The sequence below is a fragment of the Homo sapiens genome, chromosome 19 (assembly GCF_000001405.40).
Source record: "Homo sapiens chromosome 19, GRCh38.p14 Primary Assembly".
NCBI lineage: Eukaryota > Metazoa > Chordata > Mammalia > Primates > Hominidae > Homo > Homo sapiens.
Window position 1 is genome coordinate 17,867,676 of NC_000019.10, and position 27,499 is coordinate 17,895,174.

General features: G+C 53.0%; 1 protein-coding gene across 5 annotated transcripts, besides 6 other annotated features; it reads left to right on the forward strand.

Moving 5' to 3' along the window:
* Positions 1,085 to 1,738: an enhancer, noted in NCBI's record as "OCT4-NANOG-H3K4me1 hESC enhancer chr19:17979569-17980222 (GRCh37/hg19 assembly coordinates)". NCBI's record gives its function as "activates a minimal SCP1, AML or CMV promoter by ChIP-STARR-seq in naive and primed H9 embryonic stem cells {active_cell/tissue: H9 hESC(naive and primed)}" and the evidence as "EXISTENCE:reporter gene assay evidence [ECO:0000049][PMID:30033119]".
* Positions 1,739 to 2,392: an enhancer, noted in NCBI's record as "OCT4-NANOG-H3K4me1 hESC enhancer chr19:17980223-17980876 (GRCh37/hg19 assembly coordinates)". NCBI's record gives its function as "activates a minimal SCP1, AML or CMV promoter by ChIP-STARR-seq in naive and primed H9 embryonic stem cells {active_cell/tissue: H9 hESC(naive and primed)}" and the evidence as "EXISTENCE:reporter gene assay evidence [ECO:0000049][PMID:30033119]".
* On the forward strand, positions 4,270 to 27,499 carry SLC5A5 (solute carrier family 5 member 5). Of its 5 annotated transcripts, none has more exons than XM_011528193.4 (16): positions 4,270 to 4,368; positions 4,861 to 5,001; positions 6,463 to 6,528; positions 6,819 to 6,870; positions 6,989 to 7,056; positions 8,277 to 8,431; positions 10,048 to 10,188; positions 10,289 to 10,418; positions 13,157 to 13,278; positions 14,285 to 14,397; positions 14,474 to 14,544; positions 16,006 to 16,092; positions 16,175 to 16,371; positions 20,656 to 20,780; positions 23,211 to 23,326; positions 26,038 to 27,499. In XM_011528193.4, exons 2-16 carry the CDS (start codon positions 4,912 to 4,914, stop codon positions 26,200 to 26,202), a joined length of 1,698 nt encoding a protein of 565 aa, XP_011526495.1. In that variant the 5' UTR covers positions 4,270 to 4,368; positions 4,861 to 4,911; the 3' UTR covers positions 26,203 to 27,499. The 5 variants fall into 5 exon arrangements, with proteins under 5 accessions (XP_011526495.1, NP_001427636.1, XP_011526494.1 ...); NM_001440707.1 differs by having other exon boundaries at positions 13,190 to 13,278; XM_011528192.3 differs by having other exon boundaries at positions 4,270 to 5,001.
* Positions 6,040 to 6,812: an enhancer, noted in NCBI's record as "H3K27ac-H3K4me1 hESC enhancer chr19:17984524-17985296 (GRCh37/hg19 assembly coordinates)". NCBI's record gives its function as "activates a minimal SCP1, AML or CMV promoter by ChIP-STARR-seq in naive H9 embryonic stem cells {active_cell/tissue: H9 hESC(naive)}" and the evidence as "EXISTENCE:reporter gene assay evidence [ECO:0000049][PMID:30033119]".
* Positions 6,605 to 6,734: a silencer, noted in NCBI's record as "silent region_10362". NCBI's record gives its function as "represses an Ori minimal core promoter by ATAC-STARR-seq in GM12878 lymphoblastoid cells {active_cell/tissue: GM12878}" and the evidence as "EXISTENCE:reporter gene assay evidence [ECO:0000049][PMID:35858748]".
* Positions 10,167 to 10,666: an enhancer, noted in NCBI's record as "H3K4me1 hESC enhancer chr19:17988651-17989150 (GRCh37/hg19 assembly coordinates)". NCBI's record gives its function as "activates a minimal SCP1, AML or CMV promoter by ChIP-STARR-seq in naive H9 embryonic stem cells {active_cell/tissue: H9 hESC(naive)}" and the evidence as "EXISTENCE:reporter gene assay evidence [ECO:0000049][PMID:30033119]".
* Positions 19,756 to 19,915: an enhancer, noted in NCBI's record as "active region_14288". NCBI's record gives its function as "activates an Ori minimal core promoter by ATAC-STARR-seq in GM12878 lymphoblastoid cells {active_cell/tissue: GM12878}" and the evidence as "EXISTENCE:reporter gene assay evidence [ECO:0000049][PMID:35858748]".

Consider the following 27,499-nt stretch of genomic DNA (forward strand, 5'->3'; position numbering starts at 1 on the left):
CTGCCCAGGTTGGAGTGCAATGGCATGATCTTAGCTTACTGCAACCTCTGCCTCTTGGGTTCAAGCGATTCTCCTGCTTCAGCCTCCCGAGTAGCTGGGATTACACATGCCTGCCACCATGCCTGGCTAGTTTTTTGTGTTTTTAGTAGACACGGGGTTTCTTCATGTTGGCCAGGGTGGGCTTGAACTCCTGACTTCAGATGATCCACCTGCCTGGGCCTCCAAAAGTGTTGGGATTACAAGCGTGAGCACCGTGCCCAGTCGAATTGTGGAATCTTACAGACAGCAGCAGCAACAAGGAAGAATAGTTTGCATTTATTTATTTTTTTAGAGACAGGGTCTTCTTCTGTCGCCCAGGCTAAAGTGCAGTGGCGCAATCACCGCTCACTGCAGCCTCAACCTCCCCAGCTCAACCAATCCTTCTGCTTCAGCCTCCTAAGTAGCTGGGACCACAGGTGCACACCACCAAACTCGGCTAACTTTTAAAAATTTTTGGCTGGGCATGGTGGCTCACACCTGTAGTCCTAGCACTTTGGGAGGCAGAGGTGGGTGGATCATGTGAGGTCAGGAGTTCGAGACCAGCCTGGCCAACATGGTGAAACCCCTTCTCTACTAAAAATACAACAAACAAACAAACAAACAAAATTGTAGAGTTGGGGTCTCACTATATTGTTCAGGCTGGTCTCCAACTCCTAGCCTCCAGCCATCTTCCTGGCTTGGCCTCCCAAAGTGCTGAGATTACAGGCATGAGCCACCGAAACTGGCCTTTTTGCACTTGTTGAGTGCAGAGTTGAAGTTCAAGGACAGATTCTGGCTCCCCATGGCGTGGGTTCAAATCCCACTGTCACTCCTAGCTCACAGAAGGGGAATTGATGTCCAGGGCCACCCAGCAGGTCGTGCTGCAGTCACAGCAGCTCACAACTTCTCACCCCAACCCCTGCTGCATCTCCCAGGGAACCAAGGGGCAGGGGACAGCGCCCCGACACTGCCACCACTCTCCCATTCCTGCACATTCTGCTCACATTGTCTGCCGCGGCCTTGGGCCCTTCCTAACTCACATCCTGGGGTCCTGCTGCCCGCTTCTGTCATTGGAATCACAGTCAAGGAAGGTGTGACCTGATTCTCCCCACTCTGCTGCTTTTCCTCTCCAGGCTCACAATTCCCTCCGCTAGGGCAGGAGATGGTCCTGCACACTCTGCAGGGGCCTTCACTCCAGGCCTCCTTAGGAATTCCAAAGTGCTTTCCAAATCCACCCCCCTCCCCCCACTCGGCAGCCACCCCACTCCCGCCACTTGGATATGACCCATTTTTCAGAATCTAGAAATCTCATCAGACTCCTCACCTGCTCCAAACTCTCCTACAGTTCCCCAGCACCCTCAGAACAAAATCCACACCCCTTCCGGAGGCCCAGAAGATACCCCGTGATTGTCTGTCTCTGCTCAACCTGTATCCAGGCTGGAATTCACTGGTGTGATCACTGCTCACTGCAGCCTTGACCTCCCGGGCTCTGGCGATCCTCCCACCTCAGCCTCCCAAAGTGCTGGGATTATAAGTGTGAGCCACAGTGCCCAGCTGAAATCAGTATTTATCTGCTGGTGAGGTCAGGGCCATCACCACCCTGGGGTGGGTCCACCTGGATCATGCTGTGTCCCCAGCACCTGCCGGAGGGCCCTGCACACAGTATGCACTCAATGAACCGGCCTCAGCCCAGGCCTCTGGCCGCAGCCTGGACCCCACGGTGGGAAGAAGAGAAGCTATGCCTTCCCAGAACTTCCCTGGAGAGAAGGGGTCCATTTACATGTATTTGCACAATTTGCATATGTTTACATTGGTCGGCAGGGCTTTGCAAGTAGGGGATCCCGCTCGGATCTCCCATTGATTGATTGATTGATTGATTGAGACAGTCTCGCTCTGTCGCCAGGCTGGAGTGCAGTGGCACGATCTCGGCTCACTGCAACCTCCGCCTCCCGGGTTCAAGCGATTCTCCTGCCTCAGTCTCCCGAGTAGCTGGGACTACAGGCGCGTGCCATCACGCCCGGCTAATTTTTGTATTTTTAGTAGAGACGGGGTTTCACCACGTTGGCCTGGATGGTCTCGATTTCCTGACCTCGTGATCCGCCCGCGTCGGCCCCCCAAAGTGCTAGGATTACAGGCGTGAGCCACCGCGCCCAGCCTTGATTTTTATTTATTTATTTGTTTATTTATTTATTTTTTGAGACGGAATCTCTCTCTGTCGCCCAGGCTGGAGTGAAGTGGCGCGATCTCGGCTCACTGCAACCTCCACCTCCCGGGCTCAAGCGATTCTCCCGCCTCAGCCTCCCAAGTAGCTGGGATTACAGGCGGCCGCCACCACGCCCGGCTAATTCTTGTATTTTTAGTAGAGACGGGGTTTCACCATGTTGGCCAGACTGGTCTTGAACGGATCTCAAGAGACCCGTCCGCCTCGGCCCCCCAAAGTGCTGGGATTACAGGAGTGAGACACCGCACCCGGCCGGATCTCCCCTTTTCCAACGGGGTTTCCAGGAGGATGCCTGACCAGGGTGGAAGGAGAAAGAACTAGGTGCCTAACCCACTCTCCTGGCGAGGGCAGGAGGTACGCTCCAGCCGGCAACAGGTGCCCGCGTAGCCGCCGCAGTGTCACAGCCCCGGGGGAGGGACAGGTCCACCCTGCACAGCAGAGAGGGAGCAAGAGGACTGTCCGGGGGTTACGTGGGGACGCGTTGAGAAACGCTGGACCCAGCTGGAGCGGCCAGGGCAGAGGGTAGGCCAGAGGAGGCCACCAGGGAGCAGCAGAGGCTGGCGAGAAGCGCTCAAAAGCCCTTTTTTTTTTTTTTTTTTTTTTTTTGGAGACGGGGTCTTGCTGTGCTGCCCAGGCTGGAGTGCTGTGCAGTTCTCGACCACAGCTCATTGCAGCCTCGAACTTCCACGCTCAAGCGATCCTCCCACTTCAGCCTCCTGAGTAGCTGGGATTACAGGCATGTGCCACCACGCCTCGCTAATATTTGTATTTTTCATACAGACAAGATCTCACTATGTTGCTCAGGGTAGTCTCGAATTCTGGGACTCAAATGATCCTCCCACTTCAGCCTCCCAAAGTGCTGGGATTACAGGCATAAGCCATCATGCCCGGCCTCTGACGCTGTTTCTTTCAACCCCCAGGATTTCAGATTCCACCAGCTTATGGAGAAGGGAACCAAGTTTGAGATGCGTGATTGCCCAGAAAGTTGGAGGCTGAGCTGAGACTTGAACCCAGAGACCAGAACCTCCAGAGGTCAAAGTCCTCCTGGGTCCCCCAGAGAAGGGCCCTGAGATGACAGCTCGTTGGTCCTCATGGAAGCGTGACCCCCCCAGTAGACTTTCTCCCACACCCAACCTTGGTTTCCTCATCTATATGATAGGGACAAGCCAGACTCTACCTCCCTGGTGGTCATGGTCTCCGCTTATTCGGGTTCATAACCTTAAAGGCCCCTCGCACCACCTCAGTGAGCCATTTATGCCTGGCACAGGGCCAACTCTCAGTGCATATCTGCAAAGGAACCAATGAATGAATGAATGAAGTGACAAATGAATAAAGGAATAAATGAATGAGGCACTTATCATGTACCAGGCTTTCGTTACCACGTCCCATTTATTCCTCTGAGGCAGGGTCTATTTTATCCTTGTTACAGATGGGGAAACTAAGGCCCAGGGAGGAGCAAAGTCTTCCCCAAGTATGTACCCACTCAGAACTTGAGCTCTGAATGTCTCCCACCCAGCTTAGCCCAAGAGCGGGGTTCAGTGATGCCCACCCCCTAAGGCTCTAGAGAAAGGGGGTAGGCCCACATGCCAGTTTGGGGGTGGTAAAGCCAGGTAAGTTTTCTTTATGGGTCCCCTGAAACCCTGAAAGTGAACCCCAGTCCTGCATGAAAGTGAGCTCCCCATAGCTCAAGGTATTCAAGCACAATACGGCTTTGAGTGCTGAAGCAGGCTGTGCAGGCTTGGATAGTGACATGCCCTCTCTGAGCCTCAATTTCCCCACCTGTCAACAGCAGACAGTGACAGCTGTGATCAGGGGATCACAGTGCATGGGGATGGGTGGGTGCATGGGGATGGAGGGGCATTTGGGAGCCCTCCCCGATACCACCCCCTGCAGCCACCCAGATAGCCTGTCCTGGCCTGTCTGTCCCAGTCCAGGGCTGAAAGGGTGCGGGTCCTGCCCGCCCCTAGGTCTGGAGGCGGAGTCGCGGTGACCCGGGAGCCCAATAAATCTGCAACCCACAATCACGAGCTGCTCCCGTAAGCCCCAAGGCGACCTCCAGCTGTCAGCGCTGAGCACAGCGCCCAGGGAGAGGGACAGACAGCCGGCTGCATGGGACAGCGGAACCCAGAGTGAGAGGGGAGGTGGCAGGACAGACAGACAGCAGGGGCGGACGCAGAGACAGACAGCGGGGACAGGGAGGCCGACACGGACATCGACAGCCCATAGATTCCTAACCCAGGGAGCCCCGGCCCCTCTCGCCGCTTCCCACCCCAGACGGAGCGGGGACAGGCTGCCGAGCATCCTCCCACCCGCCCTCCCCGTCCTGCCTCCTCGGCCCCTGCCAGCTTCCCCCGCTTGAGCACGCAGGGCGTCCGAGGACGCGCTGGGCCTCCGCACCCGCCCTCATGGAGGCCGTGGAGACCGGGGAACGGCCCACCTTCGGAGCCTGGGACTACGGGGTCTTTGCCCTCATGCTCCTGGTGTCCACTGGCATCGGGCTGTGGGTCGGGCTGGCTCGGGGCGGGCAGCGCAGCGCTGAGGACTTCTTCACCGGGGGCCGGCGCCTGGCGGCCCTGCCCGTGGGCCTGTCGCTGTCTGCCAGCTTCATGTCGGCCGTGCAGGTGCTGGGCGTGCCGTCGGAGGCCTATCGCTATGGCCTCAAGTTCCTCTGGATGTGCCTGGGCCAGCTTCTGAACTCGGTCCTCACCGCCCTGCTCTTCATGCCCGTCTTCTACCGCCTGGGCCTCACCAGCACCTACGAGGTACCGGACAGAGGCCCGGGGGTAGGACCTGCCCCACTGGCAGTGCTGGGACCCCGTGTGGGGGAGGCGCTGGGGCTTTGGGCCGCTGTACAGGAGGACGCGGATGGCACCTCGGTGCTTTAACGGAAGGGGCCCCTAGGCAGACACGTGGGGAGGGTTCTAGGAAGAGGCCCCAGGCGCCCGGCGAGGGGCAGGAAGGAGGAAGAGAGAGCCTGGCGTCCTGCTCCTTCGGTGGAAGCGCGCGCGGGGCGGGGCCCGGCTCGACCAGGTGTGTCCTCACGGGTGGACACACACCTGCCCCCCACCTGCCCGGGCGTGCAGACCCACGTGTGCGCGCTAGAGGGGACTGCTGACGGCTCCGGGGTTCGAAACCTGGCTTCACTGCTTTCTTGTATCTTGGGCAAGGGGCGTGCCTCTCTGTTTGGGTTTCCCAGCTGTCCAATGGGCGAATTACAGGACCTCCCTCCAGGGGAGAGGGTAAAGCGATTAAAATCGTGACCGGGGCCCGGTGCGGTGGCTCACGCCTGTAATCCCAGCACTTTGGGAGGCCAAAGCATGCAGATCACCTGAGGTCAGGAGTTCAAGACCAGCCTGGCCAACATGGCGAAACCCCGTCTCTACTAAAAATACAAAAATTAGCCGGATGTGGTGGTGGGCACCTGTAATCCCAGCTACTTGGGAGGCTAAGACAGGAGAATTGCTTGAACCCGGGAGGTTGCAGTGAGCCGATATCGCGTCACTGCACTCCAGCCTGGGCGACAGAGCGAGACTCTTGTCTCAAAGGAAAAAAAAATATTGTGGCAGGGCGCAGTGGCTCACGCCTGTAATCCCAGCACTTTGGGAGGCCGAGGTGGGTGGATCACGAGGTCAGGAGTTCAAGACCAGCCTGGCTAACATGGTGAAACCCCGTCTTTACTAAAAATACAAAAATTAGCCGGGCATGGTCGCGCGCGCCTGTAATCCCAGCTACTCAGGAGGCTGAGGCAGAAGAATTGCTTGAACCTGGGAGGCGGAGGTTGCAGTGAGCCGAGATCGTGCCAGTGCACCCTAGCCTGGGCGACAGAGCGAGACTCCGTCCCCCCTCCCCCCCAAAAAAATCGTGACAGGTATATCCTAGGCGGCCAACACCATTGGCCCGGGGCACTGTCTACACTGTGCGCTTGCGGGCCACGTCGGTGTCTGCTGAGCGGTGGCTGCTCCAGGAGCCCGCGCCCGTCAGGCGCAAGTGGGAGGGCGCGTGCACACGCATGGACCAGTCCTCCAGGTCCACGGGGTACGCACAGGCACGGGATGGCACCTGTGCACGGGTGTGTGCGTGCGGCGGGGCCCCCACGTGCAAGAATCTGGCGGGCGCGGTTGGCTTCCGGAGGGAGGGGCCCACCTAGAGAGCAGACCAGGGACCCGAGAGGCCTCGGCTCCTGGGTAAGGACTGTCCAGGTGACCTCGAGTCCCTCCTTGCAGTACCTGGAGATGCGCTTCAGCCGCGCAGTGCGGCTCTGCGGGACTTTGCAGTACATTGTAGCCACGGTGAGTGGCCTCGGCCCCGCCCTCCGCTCAGGGCCCCGAGAGCGTCAGCCTTCACTAGCCCGGCCCCCACCATTCAAGACCCCGCCCAGACCCCGCCCCCCATGCTCCCGTTCTGACCCCGCCCCCATCAGTCCCCTCCCACACCACAGCCGGCCTGACCCCGCCTGCACTCTGGAAGACCCGGCCTATCTGCCCCGCCCATATTCTGGGACCACCCTTCTGCCTCCTCTCCCCATCCCCAACTCGCCCAGACGCCCTCCCTGCTCACCCGCCCCACACTCTGTCTACAGATGCTGTACACCGGCATCGTAATCTACGCACCGGCCCTCATCCTGAACCAAGGTGTGACTCTGGGAGATTAGGGAAGCATGTCTGGGAAGAGAAAGGGAGGGAGAGGAGAACCCAAGACTAAGTTTGCGCCCCGCCCAGGGGCCTAACAGGGGGACCTCTTTTTGCATAGTGACCGGGCTGGACATCTGGGCGTCGCTCCTGTCCACCGGAATTATCTGCACCTTCTACACGGCTGTGGTGAGTGGCCCTGGGAACTCACTCCATACGGGGGATCGGGCCCACTGTGTCTCTTGTGGGGAGACTCTGGGCTTGCCCCTTTCTCCTGAGGAAGCCTCTGTCCCAGCTGGGACCCAGTGTCCTCATCTTTATAGTGAAAAATGATCTGAAAAGCTTATTGCTGAGAATCTAGAGGTATGGTAGCTTCAGGCATGGCTGGATCCAGGCTTCCACCTCTTCTGGCTTCCAGTCCAGCAGGAAGTGAGCTCCTGCTTCATCCTGGGGCTGGCTGAGGTCCCAGGGAGGGCTACCTTTGGCTGGCTCAGGTCTGACCTTGATGGCGATATTATCATCGTAGTGATAATAATAGTAATGGCGGCCGGGCGCGGTGGCTCACGTCTGTAATCCCAGCACTTTGGGAAGCAGAGGCAGGCGGATCACCTAAGGTCAGGAGTTCGAGACCAGCCTGGCCAACATGATGAAACCCCGTCTCTACTAAGAATACAAAAATTACCTGGGCGCAGTGGCACGCGCCTGTAATCCTAGCCTCTCAGGAGGCTGAGGCAGGAGAATCGCTTGAACCCGGGAGGTGGAGGTTGCGGTGCGTGGAGATTGCGCCATTGCACTCCAGCCTGGGCGACAGAGCAAGACTCCATCTCAAAAAAATATAATAATAATAATAATAATAGTAATGGCAGCAATCACTCACTGACACTCGTATATGTCAAGTCATATTCCAAATCTTTTTCACTTATTAACTTGTTTAATTCTACTGGGCACAGTGGCTCATACCTGTAATCCCAGCACTTTGAGAGGCCAAGGTAGGAGGATCACTTGAGGCCAGGGGTTCGAGACCAGCCTAGGCAACATAGTGAGACCCCCCCCCGCCCCCATCTCTACAAAAAAAATTTTTTTTAAATTAGTCGGGCATGGTGGCACCTGCTGTAGCTCCAGCTACTCCGGAGGCTGAGGCAGGAGGATCACTTGAGCCTAAGAGTTCCAGTCTGCAGTGAGCTGTGATCACACCACTGCACTCCAGCCTGGGCAAAAGACAGAAACCTTTTCTTTAAAAATAAAATAACTAACTTAATTCTTACAACAACACAGTAAGAAGGTATTATTATTAATCCCACTTTAGAGAGGAGGAGACTGAGGCATAGAAGGGCATCAGTCCTAGGCACCACTGAAGGCCAGGTCCCCCATCTAACCGCCCCTCTCCCTCTCTCTGTCCCATGCTGCAGGGCGGCATGAAGGCTGTGGTCTGGACTGATGTGTTCCAGGTCGTGGTGATGCTAAGTGGCTTCTGGGTTGTCCTGGCACGCGGTGTCATGCTTGTGGGCGGGCCCCGCCAGGTGCTCACGCTGGCCCAGAACCACTCCCGGATCAACCTCATGGAGTGAGTGAAAATGCAGAGGATACTCCAGCAGGATGGGGCTGGGACCAGTGCGGTGGCTCATGCCTGTAATCCCAGCACTTTGGGAGGCCGAGGCGGGCAGATCACTTGAGCTCAGGAGTTCAAGACCAGCCTGGGCAACATGGTGAAAACCCATCTCTACAAAAATACAAAAATTAGCTGGGCGTGGTGGTGCACCTGTGGTCCCAGGTAGTTGAGAGGCTGAGGCTGGAGGATTGCTTGAGCCCGGTAGGTGGAGGCTGCAGCAAGCTGAGATCACACTACTGCACTCCAGCCTGGATGACAGAGCTAGACCCTGTCTCAAAAAAAAAAAAAAAAAGAGGCTGGGTGCAGTGGTTCATGCCTGTAATCCCAGCACTTTGGGAGGCCAAGGCGGGGGGATCACCTGAGGTCAGGAATTTGAGACCAGCATGACCGACATCGAGAAACCCCATCTCTACTAAAAAATACAAAATTAGGCTGGGCGCGGTGGCTCACGCCTGTAATCCCAGCACTTTGGGAGGCCAAGGATGGCAGATCATGAGGTCAAGAGATTGAGACCATCCTGGCCAACTTGATGAAAGTCCGTCTTTACTAAAAATACAAAAATTAGCTGGGCATGCTGGCAGGCGCCTGTAATCCCAGCTACTCAGGAGGCTGAGGCAGGAGAATTGCTTGAACCCAGGAGGCAGAGGTTGCAGTGAGCCGAGATGGCATCACTGCACTCCCGCCTGGTGACAGAGAGAGACTCCGTCCCCCCCCTAAAAAAAAAAAAAATTAGCAGGGCGTGGTGGCGCATGCCTGTAATTCCAGCTACTCGGGGAGGCTGAGGCAGGAGAATCGCTTGAACCCAGGAGGCGGAGGCTGCGGTGAGCCGAGATCACACCATTGCACTCCAGCCTGGGCAACAAGAGCGAAACTCCATCTTTAAAAAAAAAAAAAGAGGATGGGGCTGGGCTCCCTTTGTGCCGTGGGATGGTAGAAATCAGCCAATGCCTCCTGCTCCAGGAGGCCCTCGCTGCTCTCTTCTCCTCCCCTCAGACCAGATTGGGGGCTAAAGCCTCTCTGAACTCTCAGCTGGGCAAAGAAAGGTTTTTAAGTGCGTGGATAGATGATTCAGTAAACAAATACGTGAATTTTCAATCTGGCAAATGCCTATGCATATGTCAAACCCACTCCATTTATTATTTATTTATTTTTAATTTAATTAATTTTTTTTTTTTTGAGATGGAGTCTCGCTCTGTCACCCAGGCTGGAGTGCAATGGCACGATCTCAGCTCACTGCAACCTCCGCCTCCTGGGTTGAAGTGATTCTCCTGCCTCAGCCTCCCAAGTAGCTGGGATTAGAGGCACCCGCCATTATTCCCAGCTAATTTTTGTATTTTTATAGAGATGGGGTTTCACCATGTTGGCCAGGCTGGCCTTGAACTGTGACCTCAGGTGATCCATCCGCCTTGGCCTCCCAAAGTGCTGGGATTACAGGCATGAGCCACTGCGCCTGGCCAACAAAACCCACTCCAAATGTCCCCTATAAGGTCCAGAAGCGCTGTCTGGGGCCCTTGGGAGGGTGAAGTCAGCGTGACATCTCCACGTGGCTAACTTGCCCTGTCCCCACCCAGCTTTAACCCTGACCCGAGGAGCCGCTATACATTCTGGACTTTTGTGGTGGGTGGCACGTTGGTGTGGCTCTCCATGTATGGCGTGAACCAGGCGCAGGTGCAGCGCTACGTGGCTTGCCGCACAGAGAAGCAGGCCAAGCTGTGAGTGTTTCGGGGAGCAAGGTCGGGGTTTCTGGGACATGCTGCCCCCCTCCACCAGCCTGAGGCTATCCCCTAAGCCTGAGGCTGCCTCTTCCCCCAGGGCCCTGCTCATCAACCAGGTCGGCCTGTTCCTGATCGTGTCCAGCGCTGCCTGCTGTGGCATCGTCATGTTTGTGTTCTACACTGACTGCGACCCTCTCCTCCTGGGGCGCATCTCTGCCCCAGACCAGGTGAGTCCCACCCAGGCTCCTGGTTGGCTCTGCACTCCCTCACTAGCTTGGTGGGATTGAGGTCGAAGAGCATTCCTAGCAGAGGGAATGGCCTGTGCAAAGGCCAAGAAGTAGGAAAGAGCTGAGAGGAGGCCAGGTGCGGCGGCTCATGCCTGTATCCCAGCACTTTGGGAGGCTGAGGCGGGTGGATCACCTGAGGTCAGGAGTTTGAGACCAGTCTGGCTAACATGGTGAAACCCTGTCTCTACTAAAAATATAAAAATTAGCTGGACGTGGTGGCACGCACCTGTAGTCCCGGCTACTCAGGAGGCTGAGGCAGGAGAATCTCTTGAACCCGGGAGGCGGAGGTTGCGATGAAGGGAGATCGCACCACTACACTCCACCTTGGATGACAGAGTGAGACTCTGTCTCAAAAAAATAAAATAAAATAAAATAAAGAGTTCAGAGGAGGATCTGCAAGGAATGGGAAAGGTGAGTCTGGGAGGCAATGGACCGCCCTCAGTAGGTGTGAGCAGACAAGGGCCACATTCAGATCTAGAGTTCCAGAGAGTTCCAAAGATCCCCTGGGAGATGCTCAGGAGGAGATGAAACCATGACCCAGGCCGGGCATGTTGGCTCACGCCTGTAATCCCAGCACTTTTGGAGGCCGAGACAGGCAGATCACTTGAGGTTAGAAGTTCGAAACCAACCTGGCCAACATGGTGAAACCCCCCTCCACTAAAAATACAAAAATTACCTAGGCCTGGTGATGCATGCCTGTAATCCCAGCTACTCGGGAGGCTGAGGCAGGAGAATAGCTTGAACCCGGGAGGTGGAGGTTGCAGTGAGCAGAGATCGCGCCATTGCACTCCAGCCTGGGTGACAGAGAGAGACTCCATCTCAAAAAAAAAAAAAACAAAAAAAAAAAACCAAAACAAGGCTGGGCGCGGTGGCTTACGCCTATAATCTCAGCACTTTTGGAGGCTGAGGCAGGGGTATCACCTGAGGTCATGAGTTGAAGACCATCCTGACCAACATGGAAAAACCCCGTCCCTACTGAAAAATACAAAATTAGCCGGGTGTGGTGGTGCATGCCTGTAATCCCAGCTACTCGGGAGGCTGAGGCAGGAGAATAGCTTAAACCTGGGAGGCGGAGGTTGCGGTGAGCTGAGATGGCGCCATTGCACTCCAGCCTGGGCAACAAGAGAGAAACTCCGTCTCAAACAAAAATAAAAACAAAACAAAACAAACCCACAAAAACAAAAACAAAAACTGTAATCCAGCGGGAACTAATCATGTTGGTGATAATAATAATGACAGCTCTGGTCTCCCATGTCCCAAGCGTCCACTCTGTGCCTCATGCTGTTCCCTTCACCAGCAGTTAGTTCTCCATCTAATCTTTCTTCTGAGAAAGGCAGGGCAGTCACGGCTCCAACTTTACAGATGAGGAAATTGAGGCTCGGGGGGAAGTCACTGCCTGAGGTCAATGGGCAAGTCGGGGGGCGGTGCCAGGACCCATGCCTAGGTCACACCCCAAGTAGAGTTCTGACCATGGGGTTCAGAGTTAGCAGAGGGTACGGGGGACCACCCCATCTGCAGTCCTCCCTGGAGGTCAGATCCGGGACTGCTGGACTGTGTAACTTCAGGGAGGGACTGTACTCTCTGCCTCACAGTCTTCATCAATAAAATGAGGATGACACGGGTCCCTGCTTCACAGGGATCCCAGGGCTCAGAACACAGTGGGGCTCAGGGACAATTCTCAGGTTCATGCAGTTGATCAACAAATGCACATTATAGCCTGAGGAACATAGGGAGACCCCATCTTTACACAATTTTTTTTTTTTTGAGCCAGAGTCTCACTCTGTTGCCCAGGCTGGAGTGCAGTGGCGCAACCTCAGCTCACTGCAACCTCTGGCTCCCAGGATCAAGCCATTCTCTTGCCTCAGCCCCCGAGTAGCTGGGATGACAGGCATGCGCCACCATGCCCAGCTAATTTTTTTGTATTTTTTGTAGGGGTGGGGTTTTGCCATGTTGGCCAGGCTGGTCTCAAACTCCTGACCTCAGGTGATCCACCTGCCTCAGCCTCTGAATGTGCTGGGATTACAGGCATGAGCCACTGTGCCCGGCCTTTCTTTCTTTTCTTTCTTTTTTTTTTTTTTTGAGACAGAGTTTGGCTCTGTTGTGCAGGCTGGAGTGCAACGGCGCGATCTCCGCTCGCTGCAACCTCTACCTCTCAGATTCAGGCAATTCCTCTGCCTCAGCCTCCCAAGTAGCTGGGACTCCAGGTGCCAACCACCACACCCAGCTAATTTATGTATTTTGGGTAGAGATGAGGTTTCACCATGTTGGCCAGGCTGGTCTTGAACTTCTGAGCTCAAGTGATCCACCCGCCTCGGCCTCCCGAAGTGTTGGGATTACACGCGTGAGTCACCCTGCCCGGCCAGACCCCTATCTTTACACAAAAATTTAAAAAAATTAGCCAGGCATGGTGGCGCACACCTGTGGTCTCAGCTACTGGGGGACTGAAGCAGGAAGATCGCTTGAGCCCAGGAGTTCTAGGCTGCAGTGAGCCACATTCATGGGACTGCACTCCCGCCTGGGCAACAGAGCAAGATCTTTTCTCAAAACAAAACAAAACAAAACAAAACCACAGACAAAAACTAAATGCATATTAAATGCCGACTCTGAGCCCTGTCCGTCTTGGGTGCTGGGGACGTGCAGCATCAGGACAGATAGATGCCCCGGTCCTCGGGGTGCAGCTGTCTGGGAGGCTGACCCCCAGTTCTCCCCAGTACATGCCTCTGCTGGTGCTGGACATCTTCGAAGATCTGCCTGGAGTCCCCGGGCTTTTCCTGGCCTGTGCTTACAGTGGCACCCTCAGGTGAGCACCCCTGCTTGTTCATGGAGCATTATTTCAGCCCCTGGGAGCCTCCTTATCCTGGCCTGCCATCCCTCTGGGGCATGGAATGTTCTGGACCTGTCCATCAGTCCCAGTTCCTGCTTGATCCCTAGAAGACAGCTCAGGTAGGCGCTGGCAGAGAGCATGCCCTGGGCACAGGGACCCCAACTGCAAGGGTTTACCTTCTTATCACCTGTCAGGGCCACGCCTGACTCTCCTCTCTTCTTCTTCCTTCTTTCCTTCCTTCCTCCCCAGACAAATATTTGTTGAACATCTACTATGTGGCAGGTACTGTTTTTTTTTGTTTTTTTTCCGGATGGAGTCTTGCTCTGTCACCCAGGCTGGAGTGCAGTGGTGCCATCTCGGCTCACTGCAACCTCCACCTCCTGGGTTCAAGCAATTCTCCTGCCTCAGCCTCCCAAGTAGCTGGGATTACAGGTCCACGCCACCACAGCCGGCTAATTTTTGTATTTTTAGTAGAGACGGGGTTTCGCCATGTTGGCCAGGCTGGTCTTGAACTCCTGACCTCAGGTGATCTGCATGCTTTGGCCTCGCAAAGTGCTGAGATTGCAGGCATGAGCCAACGTGCTCAGCCCAGGTACTGTTGTTCTAAACCCTGGGGCACAGCCATGACCAAGCAGTCCCCTGCTTCTGCCTTCCAAGGCCACACACTCAGGTGGTTTCCACTCTTCCGGGACTTCTGGTCACATGCCCTCACTGTCCCTTTTGCAAATCTCCCACATGTGACTGCAGTCCCTCTGGAACCAGAACCCACCTGTCTGTCCCACCTGCCCTTGGTCACAGGTGTCCTTGCTCCTGTAGGGATGTCTCAGGTCTTCGGGGAGGGGAGGGGCAAATATCTCCTTCACCTTTGCAGGACTGGGTTACCCCCACCGTTGCCCTCAGGCTGGGTGAGGTCTGGCAGGCCAGATGGTGTGGACGGTCTCTCCATATGGCCTGAGGACCCCCCGCTGCCTTCCTCACACAGCACAGCATCCACCAGCATCAATGCTATGGCTGCAGTCACTGTAGAAGACCTCATCAAACCTCGGCTGCGGAGCCTGGCACCCAGGAAACTCGTGATTATCTCCAAGGGGCTCTGTGAGTTTCAGGGAGACCTGGGTGGGAGGCCAGGGCAGTCCCTCCCCGTTGACCGTGCCATCCTCATCCACTACAGCACTCATCTACGGATCGGCCTGTCTCACCGTGGCAGCCCTGTCCTCACTGCTCGGAGGAGGTGTCCTTCAGGTGAGACCCCACCTGCCCCCTGCCCTGGTCTCCTGAGAGGTGGGGGCACCTTTCCCTCTTTCCCATTAAACTGAGGCTCAGAGAGGTCACATGTGTCAGTGGCAGAACTCACTTCTATGTTTTTTTTTTTTTTGAGATGGGGTCTCACTGTGTTGTCCCAGGTTGGTGAGCAGAGGCCCGATCATAGCTCACTGCAACCTCCAGCTCCTGGGTTCAAGCCATCCTTCCACCTCAATCTCCCAAGTAGCTGGAGTTACAGGTGTGTGCCACCATGCCTGGCTAATTTTTTTCTTTTTTCTTTTTTTTTTTTTTTTGAGGTGGAGTGTCACTCTGTTGCCCAGGCTGGAGTGCAGTGGCATGATCTCAGCTCGCTGCAACCTCCACCCCCTGGGTTCAAGGAATTCTGCCTCAGCCTCCAGAGTAGCTGGGATTACAGGTGCATGCCACCATGCCCGTCTAATATTTTTGTATTTTTTTTTCTTGAGACGGAGTCTCGCTCTGTTGCCCAGGCTGGAGTGCAGTGGCACCATCTTGGCTCACTGCAAGCTCAGCCTCCTGGGTTCACGCCATTCTCCTGCCTCAGCCTCCCGAGTAGCTGGGACTACAAGCGCCCGCCACCACGCCTGACTAATTTTTTGTATTTTTAGTAGAGATGGGGTTTCACCGTGTTAGCCAGGATGGTCTCGATCTCCTGACCTCGTGATCCGCCCTCCTCGGCCTCCCAAAGTGCTGGGATTACAGGCGTGAGCCACCGCGCCCAGCTTATATTTTTGTATTTTTATTAGAGATGGGACTTCACCATGTTGGCCAGTCTGGTCTCGAACTCCTGACCTCAAGTGATCCACCCGCCTCTGCCTCCCAAAGTGTTGGGATTACAGGTGTGAGCCACCACGCCTGGCCTGGCTAATTTTAAAACTTGTTTTTAGAGACAGGGTCTCGCTTCGTGCCTAGGCTTGTCTTGAACTCCTGGCCTCAAGCAACCACCCGCCTCAGCCTTCCAAGTCGCTGAGATTAAGAACTAAGTTCTATTTGATGCCAGAGGCCATCAGGGGACTTTTTTGCAGCTGGCTGGCTTGGGGTGGGGGAATTGGGAAGGGGGAGGTGGCGACAGAAAGGGCCTCCCTATGGAGGTTGCAGTGAGCCAAGATCGCGCCACTGCACTCCAACCTGGACAGCAAAGTGAGACTCTGTCTAAAAAAAAAAAAGAAGAAGAAAGGGTCTCCCTGGCTTGAGGGTGGGACTGCCACCCCCAAGAGATAATCAGTGTCTTTGCCTCCAACCCAAGGGAGATAGGCAGGAACAAGGGGGGGGGGTCCTCTCCCCTTTAGGGAAACTGAGACACAGAGGAGTCCTTGAGACCCACATTGGAGTTCCTGAGGTCTCGCTTTCCCAGCGGGTAAACTGAGGCCCAGAGCGGTGGGAGGGCTCCGCCCTCAGCCCCACTTCCACCTACTCTCCCAGGGCTCCTTCACCGTCATGGGAGTCATCAGCGGCCCCCTGCTGGGAGCCTTCATCTTGGGAATGTTCCTGCCGGCCTGCAACACACCGGTGAGTGGGGGCGGGGCAAGGGGCGGGGAGGGGCGGGGCCGGACAGGCCCCTCCCCTTCCCTGACGCCGGCTCTGCCCCCAGGGCGTCCTCGCGGGACTAGGCGCGGGCTTGGCGCTGTCGCTGTGGGTGGCCTTGGGCGCCACGCTGTACCCACCCAGCGAGCAGACCATGAGGGTCCTGCCATCGTCGGCTGCCCGCTGCGTGGCTCTCTCAGTCAACGCCTCTGGCCTCCTGGACCCGGCTCTCCTCCCTGCTAACGACTCCAGCAGGGCCCCCAGGTGAGCAGACTTGAGGGTAGGGGGGTACCCGAGCCCTGGATGGTGTGATCTTGAAGGGAAACTTACTTGCCCTGCACTCTGTGTAAGAAGCCTGATTAGTAAAATGCATTCCTGGGGGAGGGAACGGTAGGTGCAAAGGCCCTGAGGCCACAATCGGGTTAGTCCCAGTCCAACTGCACTGAGGTTAGGGTGCATTTAATGGGAGGAGAGATGGGTGGGAGATATGGTGCAGCCAGAGGAAGCTAGTACTTTTTTTGTTTTGTTTTTCTGAGACAGAGCCTCGCTCTGTGGTCCAGGCTGGAATGCAGGGGTGCAATCTCAGCTTACTGCAGCTTCAACCTCTCAGGCTCAAGCAATCCTCCCAGCTTGAGGGAGGCCCAGAATTTGGTTTGGTTCTATTTTTTATTGAGATAAATTAGCCATTTAAAAGTGGCATTTAGGCCAGGCAGGCACAGTGGCTCACACCTGTAATCCCAGCACTTTGGGAGGCTGAGGCAGGTGGATCACCTGAGGTCAGGAGTTCAAGACCAGCTTGATCAACATGGGGAAACCCCCGTCTCTACTAAAAATACAAAACTTAGCCAAGCGTGGTGGCAGGTGCCTGTAATCCCAGCTACTCGGGAGGCTGAGACAGGAGAATCGCTTGAACCCAGGAGGTGGAGGTTGCAGTGAGCTGAGATCGCACCACTGTATTCCAGCCTGGGCAACAAAAATGAAACTCCAACTCAAATAAATAAATTAAAGTGGCATTTAGTATATTTGTGCAACCATCACCACTATCTAAGTCAAGAACGTTTCCTCTTTTTTTTTTCTAATTTTGTATTTTTAGTACAGATGGGGTTTCACCATGTTGGCCAGGCTGATCTTGAACTCCTGACCTCAGGTGATCCGCCCACCTCAGCCTCCCAAAATGCTGGGATTACAGGTGTGAGCCACTGTGCCTGGCCCCAAAAACATTTTCTATTTTTTTTTTTTTTTGGAGCAGGGTCTTGCTCTGTTGCCCAGGCTGGAGTCCAGTGGCACGATCATAGCTCACTGCTGCCTCAACCTCCTGGGCTCAAGGAATCTTCCTACCTCAGCCCCCCTAGTTGCTGGGACCACAGGTGCACACCATCATGTCCTGCTTGTTTTTATTTTTATTTTTTGTAGAGACAGGGTCTGGCTATGTTGCCCAGGCTGGTCTGGAATTCCTGGGCTCAAGCGATCTGCCCACCTCAGCCTTGCAAAGTGCCAGGATGACAGGTGTGGGCACCCAGCCAACCAAGAACATTTTCTGTTTTGTTTATTTATTTATTTATTTATTTTGGTTTTTTGGGTGGGTTTTTTTGCTTTTTGTTTATTTGATTTTTTGGAGACAGGGTCTCACTCTAACACCCAGGCTGGAGTGCAATGGCACAATCACAGCTCACTGCACCATTGACCTCCAGACTCCGATGATCCTCCTGCCTCAGCCTCCCAAGTAGCTGGGACTATAGGCATGTATCACCATGCTGGGCTAAATTTTTTGTATTTTTTATAGAGACGAGTTTTTGCCATGTTGCCCAGGCTGGTCTCAAAGTATTGGGCTCAAGTGATCTGCCTGCCTCTGACTCCCAAAGTGCTGGGATTACAGGTGTGAGGCACTGTTCCTGGTCATAAGAACATTTTTATCACCCCAGAAAGAAGCCCTGTCCCCATCAGCAGTCACTTCCCACTTCCCCCTCTCCCCAGCTCCTGGCAAGCACGAATCCACTTTCTGTTTCTATGAATTTGCCTGTTCTGGGCATTTCATGTAAATGGAATCATAAAATATGTGATCTTTTGTGTCTTAGCATAATACATATATATTTTTTGAGACGGGGTTTCACTTTGTCGCCCAGGCTGGAGTGCAGTGGCGTGATCCCAGCTCACTGCAACCTCTGCCTCCCAGGTTCAAGCAATTCTCCTGTCTCGGCCTCCTGAGTAGCTGGGGTCACAGGCATATGCCACCACGCTTGGGTAATTTTTGTATTTTTAGTAAAGATGGGGTTTCACCATATTGATCAGGCTGGTCTTGAACTCCTGACCTCAGGAGATCCACACATCTTGGCCTTTCAAAGTACTGGGATTACAGCAGAGTACAGTGGAGCCACTGCACTCCAGTCTGGGTAACAGAGTGAGACTCCACCAAAAACAAACAAAACCAAAAACATTTGTGAACAAGTTTTGGTATGGACATATGTTTTAATTTCTCTAGGTATATACCTATGAGTGGAATTGCTGGATCATATGGTAATTCTTTAACTTTTTTTTTTTTTTTTTAGATGGAGTCTTGCTCTGTCGCCCAGGCTGGAGTGCAGTGGTGTGATCTCCACTCACTGCAACCTCCGCCTCCTGGGTTCAAGCGATTCTCCCGCTTCAGCCTCCCGAGTAGCTGGGACTACAGGCATATGCCACCACGCCTGGCTAATTTTTATATTTTTAGTAGAGAAGGGGTTTCACCATGTTGGTCAGGGTGGTCTCAAACCCCTGACCTCAGATGATCCGCCTGCCTTGGCCTCCCAGGGTGTTAGGATTACAGGCCTGAGCCACCACGCCCGGCCTATGTTTAACTTTTTGAGGAACTACCAGACTGTTTTCCACAGCGGCCACATCATTTTACATTCCGACCAGCAACATATGAGGATTCTAACTTCTCCACGTCCTCGCCAATACTCATTATTCTCCATCCTAGTGGGTGTGAAGTGATACCTCACTGTGGTTTTGATTTGCATTTCCCTGATGAATAATGATGTTGAGCATCTTTCTTTTCATTGGCCATTTGTGCATCTTCTTTGGAGAAATGTCTATTCAAACCCTTTGCCCATCCAGCCTGGGTAACATAGAAAGACCCTATCTCTATAAAAATAAAAATGAAAAAATTAGCTGGGCATGGTGGTGCACACTTGTAGTCCCAGCTCCTTGGGAGGCTGAGGCAAAGAGGATCGCTTGAGCCTGGGGGGCCAAGGCTGCAGTGAAGCATGATCCCACCACTGCACTCCATCCTAGGCAACAGAGCAAGACCCTGCCTCAAATTAAAAAACAAACAAACAAAAAAACACCCTTTGCCCATTTTTAAATTGGGTGATTTGTCTTTTTATTGTTGAGTTATAATTTACATATTTTTATATCTTTATGTATTCTGGGTACAAGCCCCTGATCAGATGTATAATTTGCATGTGATATTTTCTCCCATTCTGTAGGTTGTCTTCATTCTCTCGATAGAATCCTTTGATGCACAGAAGTTTTTAATTCTTTTTTTTGGTGGGCGGATGGAGTCTAACTCTGTCACCCAGGCTGGAGTGCAGTGGTGCGATTTCAGCTCACTGCAACCTCCACCTCCCAGGTTCAAGGGATTCTCCCACCTCAGCCTCGTGAGTAGCTGTGACTACAGGTGCACACCACTATGCCAGGCTAATTTTTATATTTTTAGTAGAGATGGGGTTTCACCATGTTAGCCAGCCTGGTTTCAACTCCTGACCTCAGCCTGCCTCAGCCTCCCAAAGTGCTAGGATTACAGGCATGAGCCAACATGCCTGGCCAGAAGTTTTTAATTTTTTTTTTTTTTTTTTGAGATGGAGTCTCGCTCTGTTGCCCAGGCTGGAGTGCAATGGTGTGATCTCGGCTCACTGCAAGCTCCACCTCCCGGGTTCATGCCATTCTCCTGCCTCAGCCTCTCGAGTAGCTGGGACTACTGGCACCCGCCATCAGGCCTGGCTAATTTTTTATTATTTTTTTATTTTTAGTAGAGACAGGGTTTCACCATGTTAGCCAGGATGGTCTCGATCTCCTGACCTCGTGATCCACCCGCCTTGGCCTCCCAAAGTGCTAGGATTACAGGTGTGAGCCACCACGCCCAGCCAGTTTTTAATTTTTGATGAAGTCCAATTGATTTATTTTTTTCTTTGGTGGCTTTTGCTTTTGGCGTCATATCTAAGAAACAATTGCAGTCACGAAGATTCCCACCTATGTTTTCTTCTGAGAGTTTAATTTGGTTTGATTTTGAGGGTGACAGGGAGCCACAGAGGGTGACGGGCAGCAGCAGGTGATCTGAGTTACATTTTAGTAATGTGCCCTTTGGCTGTGTGTGGAGGACGTCTAGGGTGGGGATGGGATACCTGGAGGGAAGGAACATTGGCTACTGCACAGATCTGGGCAGACAGTAATGGAGGTCTGTGCTAGGCCATGGCAGTTGGGGGAAGGAAGCAGGGGGTGAGGTTGGAACAGCTTTTGAGTGCAGGCAGGGGATAAAAGAGGAGGTTCAAGTCTGTCTCTCCCAACCTGCAGCTCAGGAATGGACGCCAGCCGACCCGCCTTAGCTGACAGCTTCTATGCCATCTCCTATCTCTATTACGGTGCCCTGGGCACGCTGACCACTGTGCTGTGCGGAGCCCTCATCAGCTGCCTGACAGGTAGGTAAACAGAGCATGTGGCCTCAGAGGTCATCCCATTCATCTCTCTGCCTCAAGGCTCCACCCAGCAGGGAGGGGAGAAAGGACGCTCCCATTGGCCAAACTGCCACTGTGTGCTGTACACATTTGTACCTTATTATTATTATTATTATTATTATTATTATCATCATCATCATCATCATCATCATCATTTTTGAGATAGAGTCTCACTCTGTCACCCAGGCTGGAGTGCAGTGGTGTGATCTCAGTTCATTGCAACCTCCACCTCCCAGATTCAAGCGATTCTCATGTCACAGCCTCCCGAGTAGCTGGGATTACAAGTGTGTGCCGCCATGCTTGGCTAATTTTGCATTTTTAGTAGAGACGGAGTTTCGCCATGTGTCTCGAACTCCTGGGCTCAAGTGATCCGCCCACCTCGGCCTCGCAAAGTTCTGGGATTATAGGTGTGAGCCACTGCACCTGGGCTGTACCTATTTTTTTAAAAGGAAAAAAAAAGTTTGTGAGGAAAAAAGAAGTGTGTGTGTATATATACACATACATACACACTTTTATGTGTATATATACATAAAAGAAATTATGAATATATATAAAAATTATGACTATATATATACATAAAAGAAAGTGTATATATATATAGTTTCTTTTAAAGGGACGGGGTCGACTGGGCGTAGTGGCTCATGCCTGTTATCCCAGCACTTTGGGAGGCCGAGGCGGGTGGATCACCTGAGGTCAGGAGTTCAAGACCAGCCCGGCCAACATGGTGAAACCCCGTCTCTACTAAAAATACAAAAAAATTAGCTGGGCATGGTGGCAGGCGCCTGTAATGCCAGCTACTTGGGAGGCTGAGGTAAGGGAATCGCTTGATCCTGGGAGATGGAGGTTGCAGTGAGCCAAGATTGCGTCACTGCACTCCAGCCTGGGCAAGAGAGTGAGACTCCATCTAAAAGAAAGAAAGAAAGAAGGAAGGAAGGAAGGAAGGAAGGAAGGAAAGAGAAAGAGAGAGAGAGAGAAGGAGAGAAAGAGAGAGAGAAAGAAAAGAGACAGGTCTCACTGTTACCCAGACTGGAGTGCAGTGGCACAATCATGGCTCACTGCAACCTTGAACTCCTGAGCTGAAAGCAATCCTCCCACCTCATCCTCCCGAGTAGCTGAGACTACAGGTGCGCGCCAACGTGCCCGGCTCACATTTACACCCTTTAAAGCTATGTTGCTTTCTTGACAACCCTGCACCTCTCAGAGCTTGCCCTATTTTGCAGAGGCAGAAACGGAGGCATTGCCTGCAACTCCTCTCCCCAACAAGATTAAGTCCTCAGTAGAGGATATGGGTTGGGGCGGGCGGCGCTATCCCTGGTGCTGAAATATCTTCTAAAGCTGCCGGTGACTCCGCACTTGTTAGGGAATTCTAAATTCCACGGAAAAGTAGAAGGAGACAAAGAGGGGAAAGTCAGTAGTGATAACAGTACCTGCTCACACTTCTTGAGTCTCAGACTTCACAGTCATCAGGCCTTTATCGAGTCCTCCTCTGTGCTGGACGCTATTTTAGGCACTGGGGATGCAGCAGTGAATGGAACCGTGTGCTGGACCCTCCCAGCCATCCATTAATGTCTTTGTTTTGTTTTGTTTTGTTTTTTTGAGATGGAGTTTCACTCTGGTCGCCCAGGCTGGAGTGCAATGGTGCGATGTTGGCTCACTGCAACCTCTGACTCCCGGGTTCAAGCAATTCTCTTACCTCAGCCTCCCGAGTAGCTGGGATTACAAGCGCCCACCCCCACGCCTGGCTAATTTTTGTATTTTTAGTAGAAATGGGGTTTCGCCATGTTGGCCAGACTAGTCTCGAACTCCTGACGTCAAGTGATCCCCTGCCTTGGTCTTCCAAAGTGCTGGGACTACAGGCGTGAGCCACCGTGCCCAACCTCCAATGATGTTTTTGTTTTGTTTTGTTTTGTTTTGTTTTAGAAACAGGGTCTCACTCTGTCACCAAGCTGGAGTGCAGTGGCACAATGACGGCTCACTGCAGCCTCGACCTCTTGGGCTCAAGCAATCCTCCTGCCTCAGCCTCCCAAGTAGCTGAGACTAGAGGCACACACCACCATGCCTGGCTAATTTTTTAATATTTTGTAGAGATGGGTTCTTGCTATGTTGCCTAGGCTGGTCTCCAACTACTGGGCAACTCTAAGCAATCCTATTGCCTTAGACTCCCAAAGTGCAATTATGAGCCACCATACCTGGCCTCACTGATGTTTTATTACAACTTCACTGTGTAGATGAGGAAACTGAGGCTCAGAGGCTTGCCAGGGTCCCTTAGTGGGACTGGAGCCTGTTAGACTTCATAGACCAGGGATCTCCTTTCTCCTTCCCAGGACCTGGTCTCCAACCCCCATGACCCCTTCACTGAATGCCTGGATTTCTCCATTTCTCCCCGCCTCTCAGGCCCCACCAAGCGCAGCACCCTGGCCCCGGGATTGTTGTGGTGGGACCTCGCACGGCAGACAGCATCAGTGGCCCCCAAGGAAGAAGTGGCCATCCTGGATGACAACTTGGTCAAGGTCAGTCTTAGGCTGGGTTCCCAGATCTAGAGGCAGCCAAGTGACTTTAGGACGTGACCACAGCTCAGGGGAGGGACATGGTATATCAGCACCTTTCTCCATCGCTCATTATCTCCAGTCAAAAGACTCTATTGGGAGCTGATTCATCCTCAACAGTTTTTATCTCCCTTCACAAGGACTGAACAGAGTTTAATACTATTCCTTTTTGTTTGTTTGTTTTTTGAGACAGAGTCTCGCTCTGTTGCCCAGGCTGGAGTGCAGTGGTGCAATCTCGGCTCACTGCAACCTCCACATCCCGAGTTCAAGCGATTCTCCTGCCTCAGCCTCCTGAGTAGTTGCTACTACAGGCGCATGCCACCGCACCCAGCTAATTTTTATGTTTTTAGTAGAGATGGGGTTTCACCATGTTGCCCAGGCTGGTCTCGAACTCCTGACCTCAAATGATCCACCCACCTTAGACCCCCAAAGTGCTGGGATGACAGGCATGAGCCACCGAGCCCAGCCTCATCTTCAAGTTTTTGTTATCTCCCTTCATAAGGACTGAACAAAGTTGAATACTATTCCTTTTTGTCGTTATCTGTTTTTACAGTGACTTCCAATCTTTGGCAGGTGAAACTGGTGTGCTGTTAGGGTATTGATGTAAAGTCTCTTCTTAAAATAAAATTACTTAATTCAAAAGTGAGTCAACTTGGGGAAAAAATCTTACATAAGAAACACAACAGATGGTAAACCGATTTTGGCTAAAACCGCGTGGTTGCTTTGTGAATTCCCAGAGTTTGGAAAATGCTGTCCCTGGGGGACCTGATCCCATGCCTACCCCTGTTTTGGAATCCCTGTTCCATTCTCTCATTTATTGAGCACCTGCTGTGTACCCAGTCCTGCTCTGGGCTATGGTCTAAGACCCCCACCCCACCCTCATCTAGCAGGGGCAGGTGAAAACTAAAAAGAGAAACATGTAGGGTCTGTCTCAGTATGTGATAAGCATTCAAAAGATAATACAACCAGATGCTGTCAGGCCGGGCACGGTAGCTCACGCCTGTAATCCCAGCACTTTGGGAGGTTGAGGTGGATCGCTTGAGGCCAGGAGTTCAAGACCAGCCTGTCGAACATGGCAAAACCCTGTCTCTACTAAAAATACAAAAATTAGCCGGGCATGGTGGCGTGTGCCTGTAATCCCAGCTACTCAGTGGAATGAGGCAGAAGAATTGAACAATTGAACCCGGGAGGTAGAGGTTGTAGTGAGCTGAGATCGCGCCACTGCATTCCAGCCTGGGTGACAGAGCAAGACTTCGTCAAAAAGATAGGAAAGCAGGAAGGGAGGGAGGGAGGGAAAAGAAGGAAGGAAAGGAAAGAGCCAGGCGTGATGGCTCACCCCTGTAATCCCAGCACTTTGGGAGACTTAGGCAGGTGCATCACCTGAGGTCAGGAGTTCGAGACCACCCTGGCCAACATGGTGAAACCCCATCTCTACTAAAAATACAAAAAATTAGCCGGGTGTGGTGGTGCATGCCTATAATTCCAGCTATTCGGAAGGCTGAGGCAGGAGAATCGATTGAACTCAGGAGGTGGAGGTTGCAGAGAGCAGAGATTGTGCCATTGCACTCCAGCCTGGGCAACAACAGCCAGACACTGTCAGAAAGAAAGAAAAGACAGAGAGAGAGAGAGAGAGAGAGAGAGAGAGAGAGAGAGAGAGAGAGCAAGCTAAAAAGAAAAACGTGTAGGGTCTCAGCATGATAAATATTCAAAGGATAATAAAACCGGATGCTGTGATGGGGAGCAACTTTAGCCAGGGAAGTCAGGGGTGGCCTCTTGGGAGAGGTGACATTGATTGACCCTGAGTTAGGAGAAGAGGAACCAGCCACAGACAGGAACAGCTTTGACTGAGAAGGGGATTGGGAGGGGAGGGGTTTGCCTGAAGGTGTTTAAAGCTCCCTCCAGCTGCCCTAGAGAAGTGTTTATCTTTTCTTTCTTTCCTCTTTTCTTTTCCTTTCTCTTCTTTTCTTTTTTTTCTTTCTCTCTCTTTTTTTGTTCTTTATTATTTTATTTTTCTTTTTTGTTGTCTTTGTTTTATTTGTGTGTTTTTTTTCTTTTTTGTCTTTTTTTTTTTTCCTTTTTTTGAGATAGGGACTCACTCTATTGCCCAGGCTGGAGTGTAGTGGCATGACCATGGCTCACTGCAGCCCCAACCTCCATGGTCCGAGAAATTCTCCCATCTTTCAACCTCCTGAGTAGCTGGGATTATAGGCATGCACCACCGAGTCTGGTTAATTTTTTTATTTTTGGTAGAGATGGGGTTTTGCCATATTGGCCAGGCTGGTCTTAAACTCCTGGGCTCAAGTGATCTGCCCACCTTGGCCTCCCAAAGTGCTAGGATTACAGGGGTGAGCCACCGTGCCCGGCCAGAAATATTTATTTTCTTGAAGGTGAACAGGCAGAGAAGCAGAGAAAGGAGGGAGGAACTATAGCAGGCATCTGAGAAAGCGTTGATGGCCTGGGCTGTAGGTGACATGTGAGTGGGGAAGAGAAGCGCATGGAAATTTTGGAGGCAGAGCGGGCAGGACTGGCCCGTGCACTGAGCAAGGGGATAGTATGCAATTCTGTGCACGCCCCGTCCCGCCAGGTCATCAGTAGCCCATCTGGGAGATGAGCTGACACGGAACAGGGTGGGGACAGGGTCTCTGATGGGGTCTCTTTTTCCCACTTTTCCCCAGGGTCCTGAAGAACTCCCCACTGGAAACAAGAAGCCCCCTGGCTTCCTGCCCACCAATGAGGATCGTCTGTTTTTCTTGGGGCAGAAGGAGCTGGAGGGGGCTGGCTCTTGGACCCCCTGTGTTGGACATGATGGTGGTCGAGACCAGCAGGAGACAAACCTCTGAGGACAGGGCCAGCCGCGGGACTGACACCCTGGGATGGAACCTCAGGATGGGCCAAACCCAGACAACGGGCCCATGGCCTTGGGCTCTGATTGGCTGGATTGCCTTGTATGCAAATGAGTTCAGGACTACAATACCCTACCCTATGGGGAGGCCCTGCCTCCGGGAGGTCATTTTTTAAATCCAGCCCCTTGCTTCAACCGTCCCCAGTATTAGACGCTGCAGCCCTGACGGCTCCCCCCAAATAAGGCTGGGTTTTTCTCTCTCTCTTTTTTTTTTTTTTTTTTTTTTGAGACAGGGTCATGCTCTGTCACCCAGGCTGGAGTGCAGTGGTGTGATCTCGGCTCACTGCAACCTCTGCCTCCCAGGCTCAAGTGATTCTCCTGCCTCAGCCTCTTGAGTAGCTGGGATTGTAGGTGCCCACCACCATGCCCAGCCAACTTTTTGTATTTTTAGTAGAGACAGGGTTTCACCATGTTGGTCAGGCTGGTCTCGAACTCCTGACCTCAAGTGATCCACCTGCCTCGGCCTCCCAAAGTGCTGGGTTACAGGCGTAAGCTACCATGCCCAGCCTACCGTTTTTCTCAATCTATAATAGAAAGCCACCACGCCCAGGTAATTTTTGTAATTTTGTATTTTTGTAGAGACGGGGTTTTGCCATGTTGGCCAGGCTGGTCTCAAACTCCTGATCTCAGGTGATCCTCCTGCCTTGGCCTCCCAAAGGGCTGGGATTACAGGGGTGAGCCACCGCGCCCCACCTCTTTCTTATTTTCTTCCTGGGATTGGGGAGGGGATGATTCAGACCCCACATGGCCTCCAACCTTGGCCCACACACCTGCCATGGCTCCCATCATCCTGAGCATGCTAGCGTCCCCTCCTCACCTGACAATGGAGGCTCTCGAATTGGGTTGTGTCCCCCCAAAATTTATGTCTACCCAGAACCTCAGAACATGAGCTTACTTGGAAATAGGGTCTTTGCAGGTGTAACTGGTTAAATTAAAAGAGGTATTACTGGAGGAGGATGGATGAATCCAGTGACTGGTTCCTCATATGAAGTAGAGAAGAGATGCAGAGAAACACATGGGGAAGATGCCACGTGAAGACAGAGGCAGTGGTTGGATCAATGCATCTACGAGTCGGAGAACCCAAGGATTGCCAGCAACAACCAGAAATCAGGAGGGGGGCATGAGATGCATTATTTCTTAGAGCCTTTAGAGGGAACATGGCCCTACTGACACCTTGATGTCAGACTTCTGGCTGCTAGAACTGTCAGAGAATAAATTTCTGTTGTTTGATGCCA

Excerpts from the sequence above, each read along its gene's own strand:
- SLC5A5 (XM_011528192.3), top strand. The coding sequence starts at position 4,645 with ATGGAGGCCGTGGAGACCGGGGAACGGCCCACCTTCGGAGCCTGGGAC. Across the intron at positions 7,057-8,276 it reads GCACCTTCTACACGGCTGTG|GGCGGCATGAAGGCTGTGGT; the intron begins GTGAGTGGCCCT and ends CCCATGCTGCAG. Across the intron at positions 20,781-23,210 it reads CCTCATCAGCTGCCTGACAG|GCCCCACCAAGCGCAGCACC; the intron begins GTAGGTAAACAG and ends CCCGCCTCTCAG.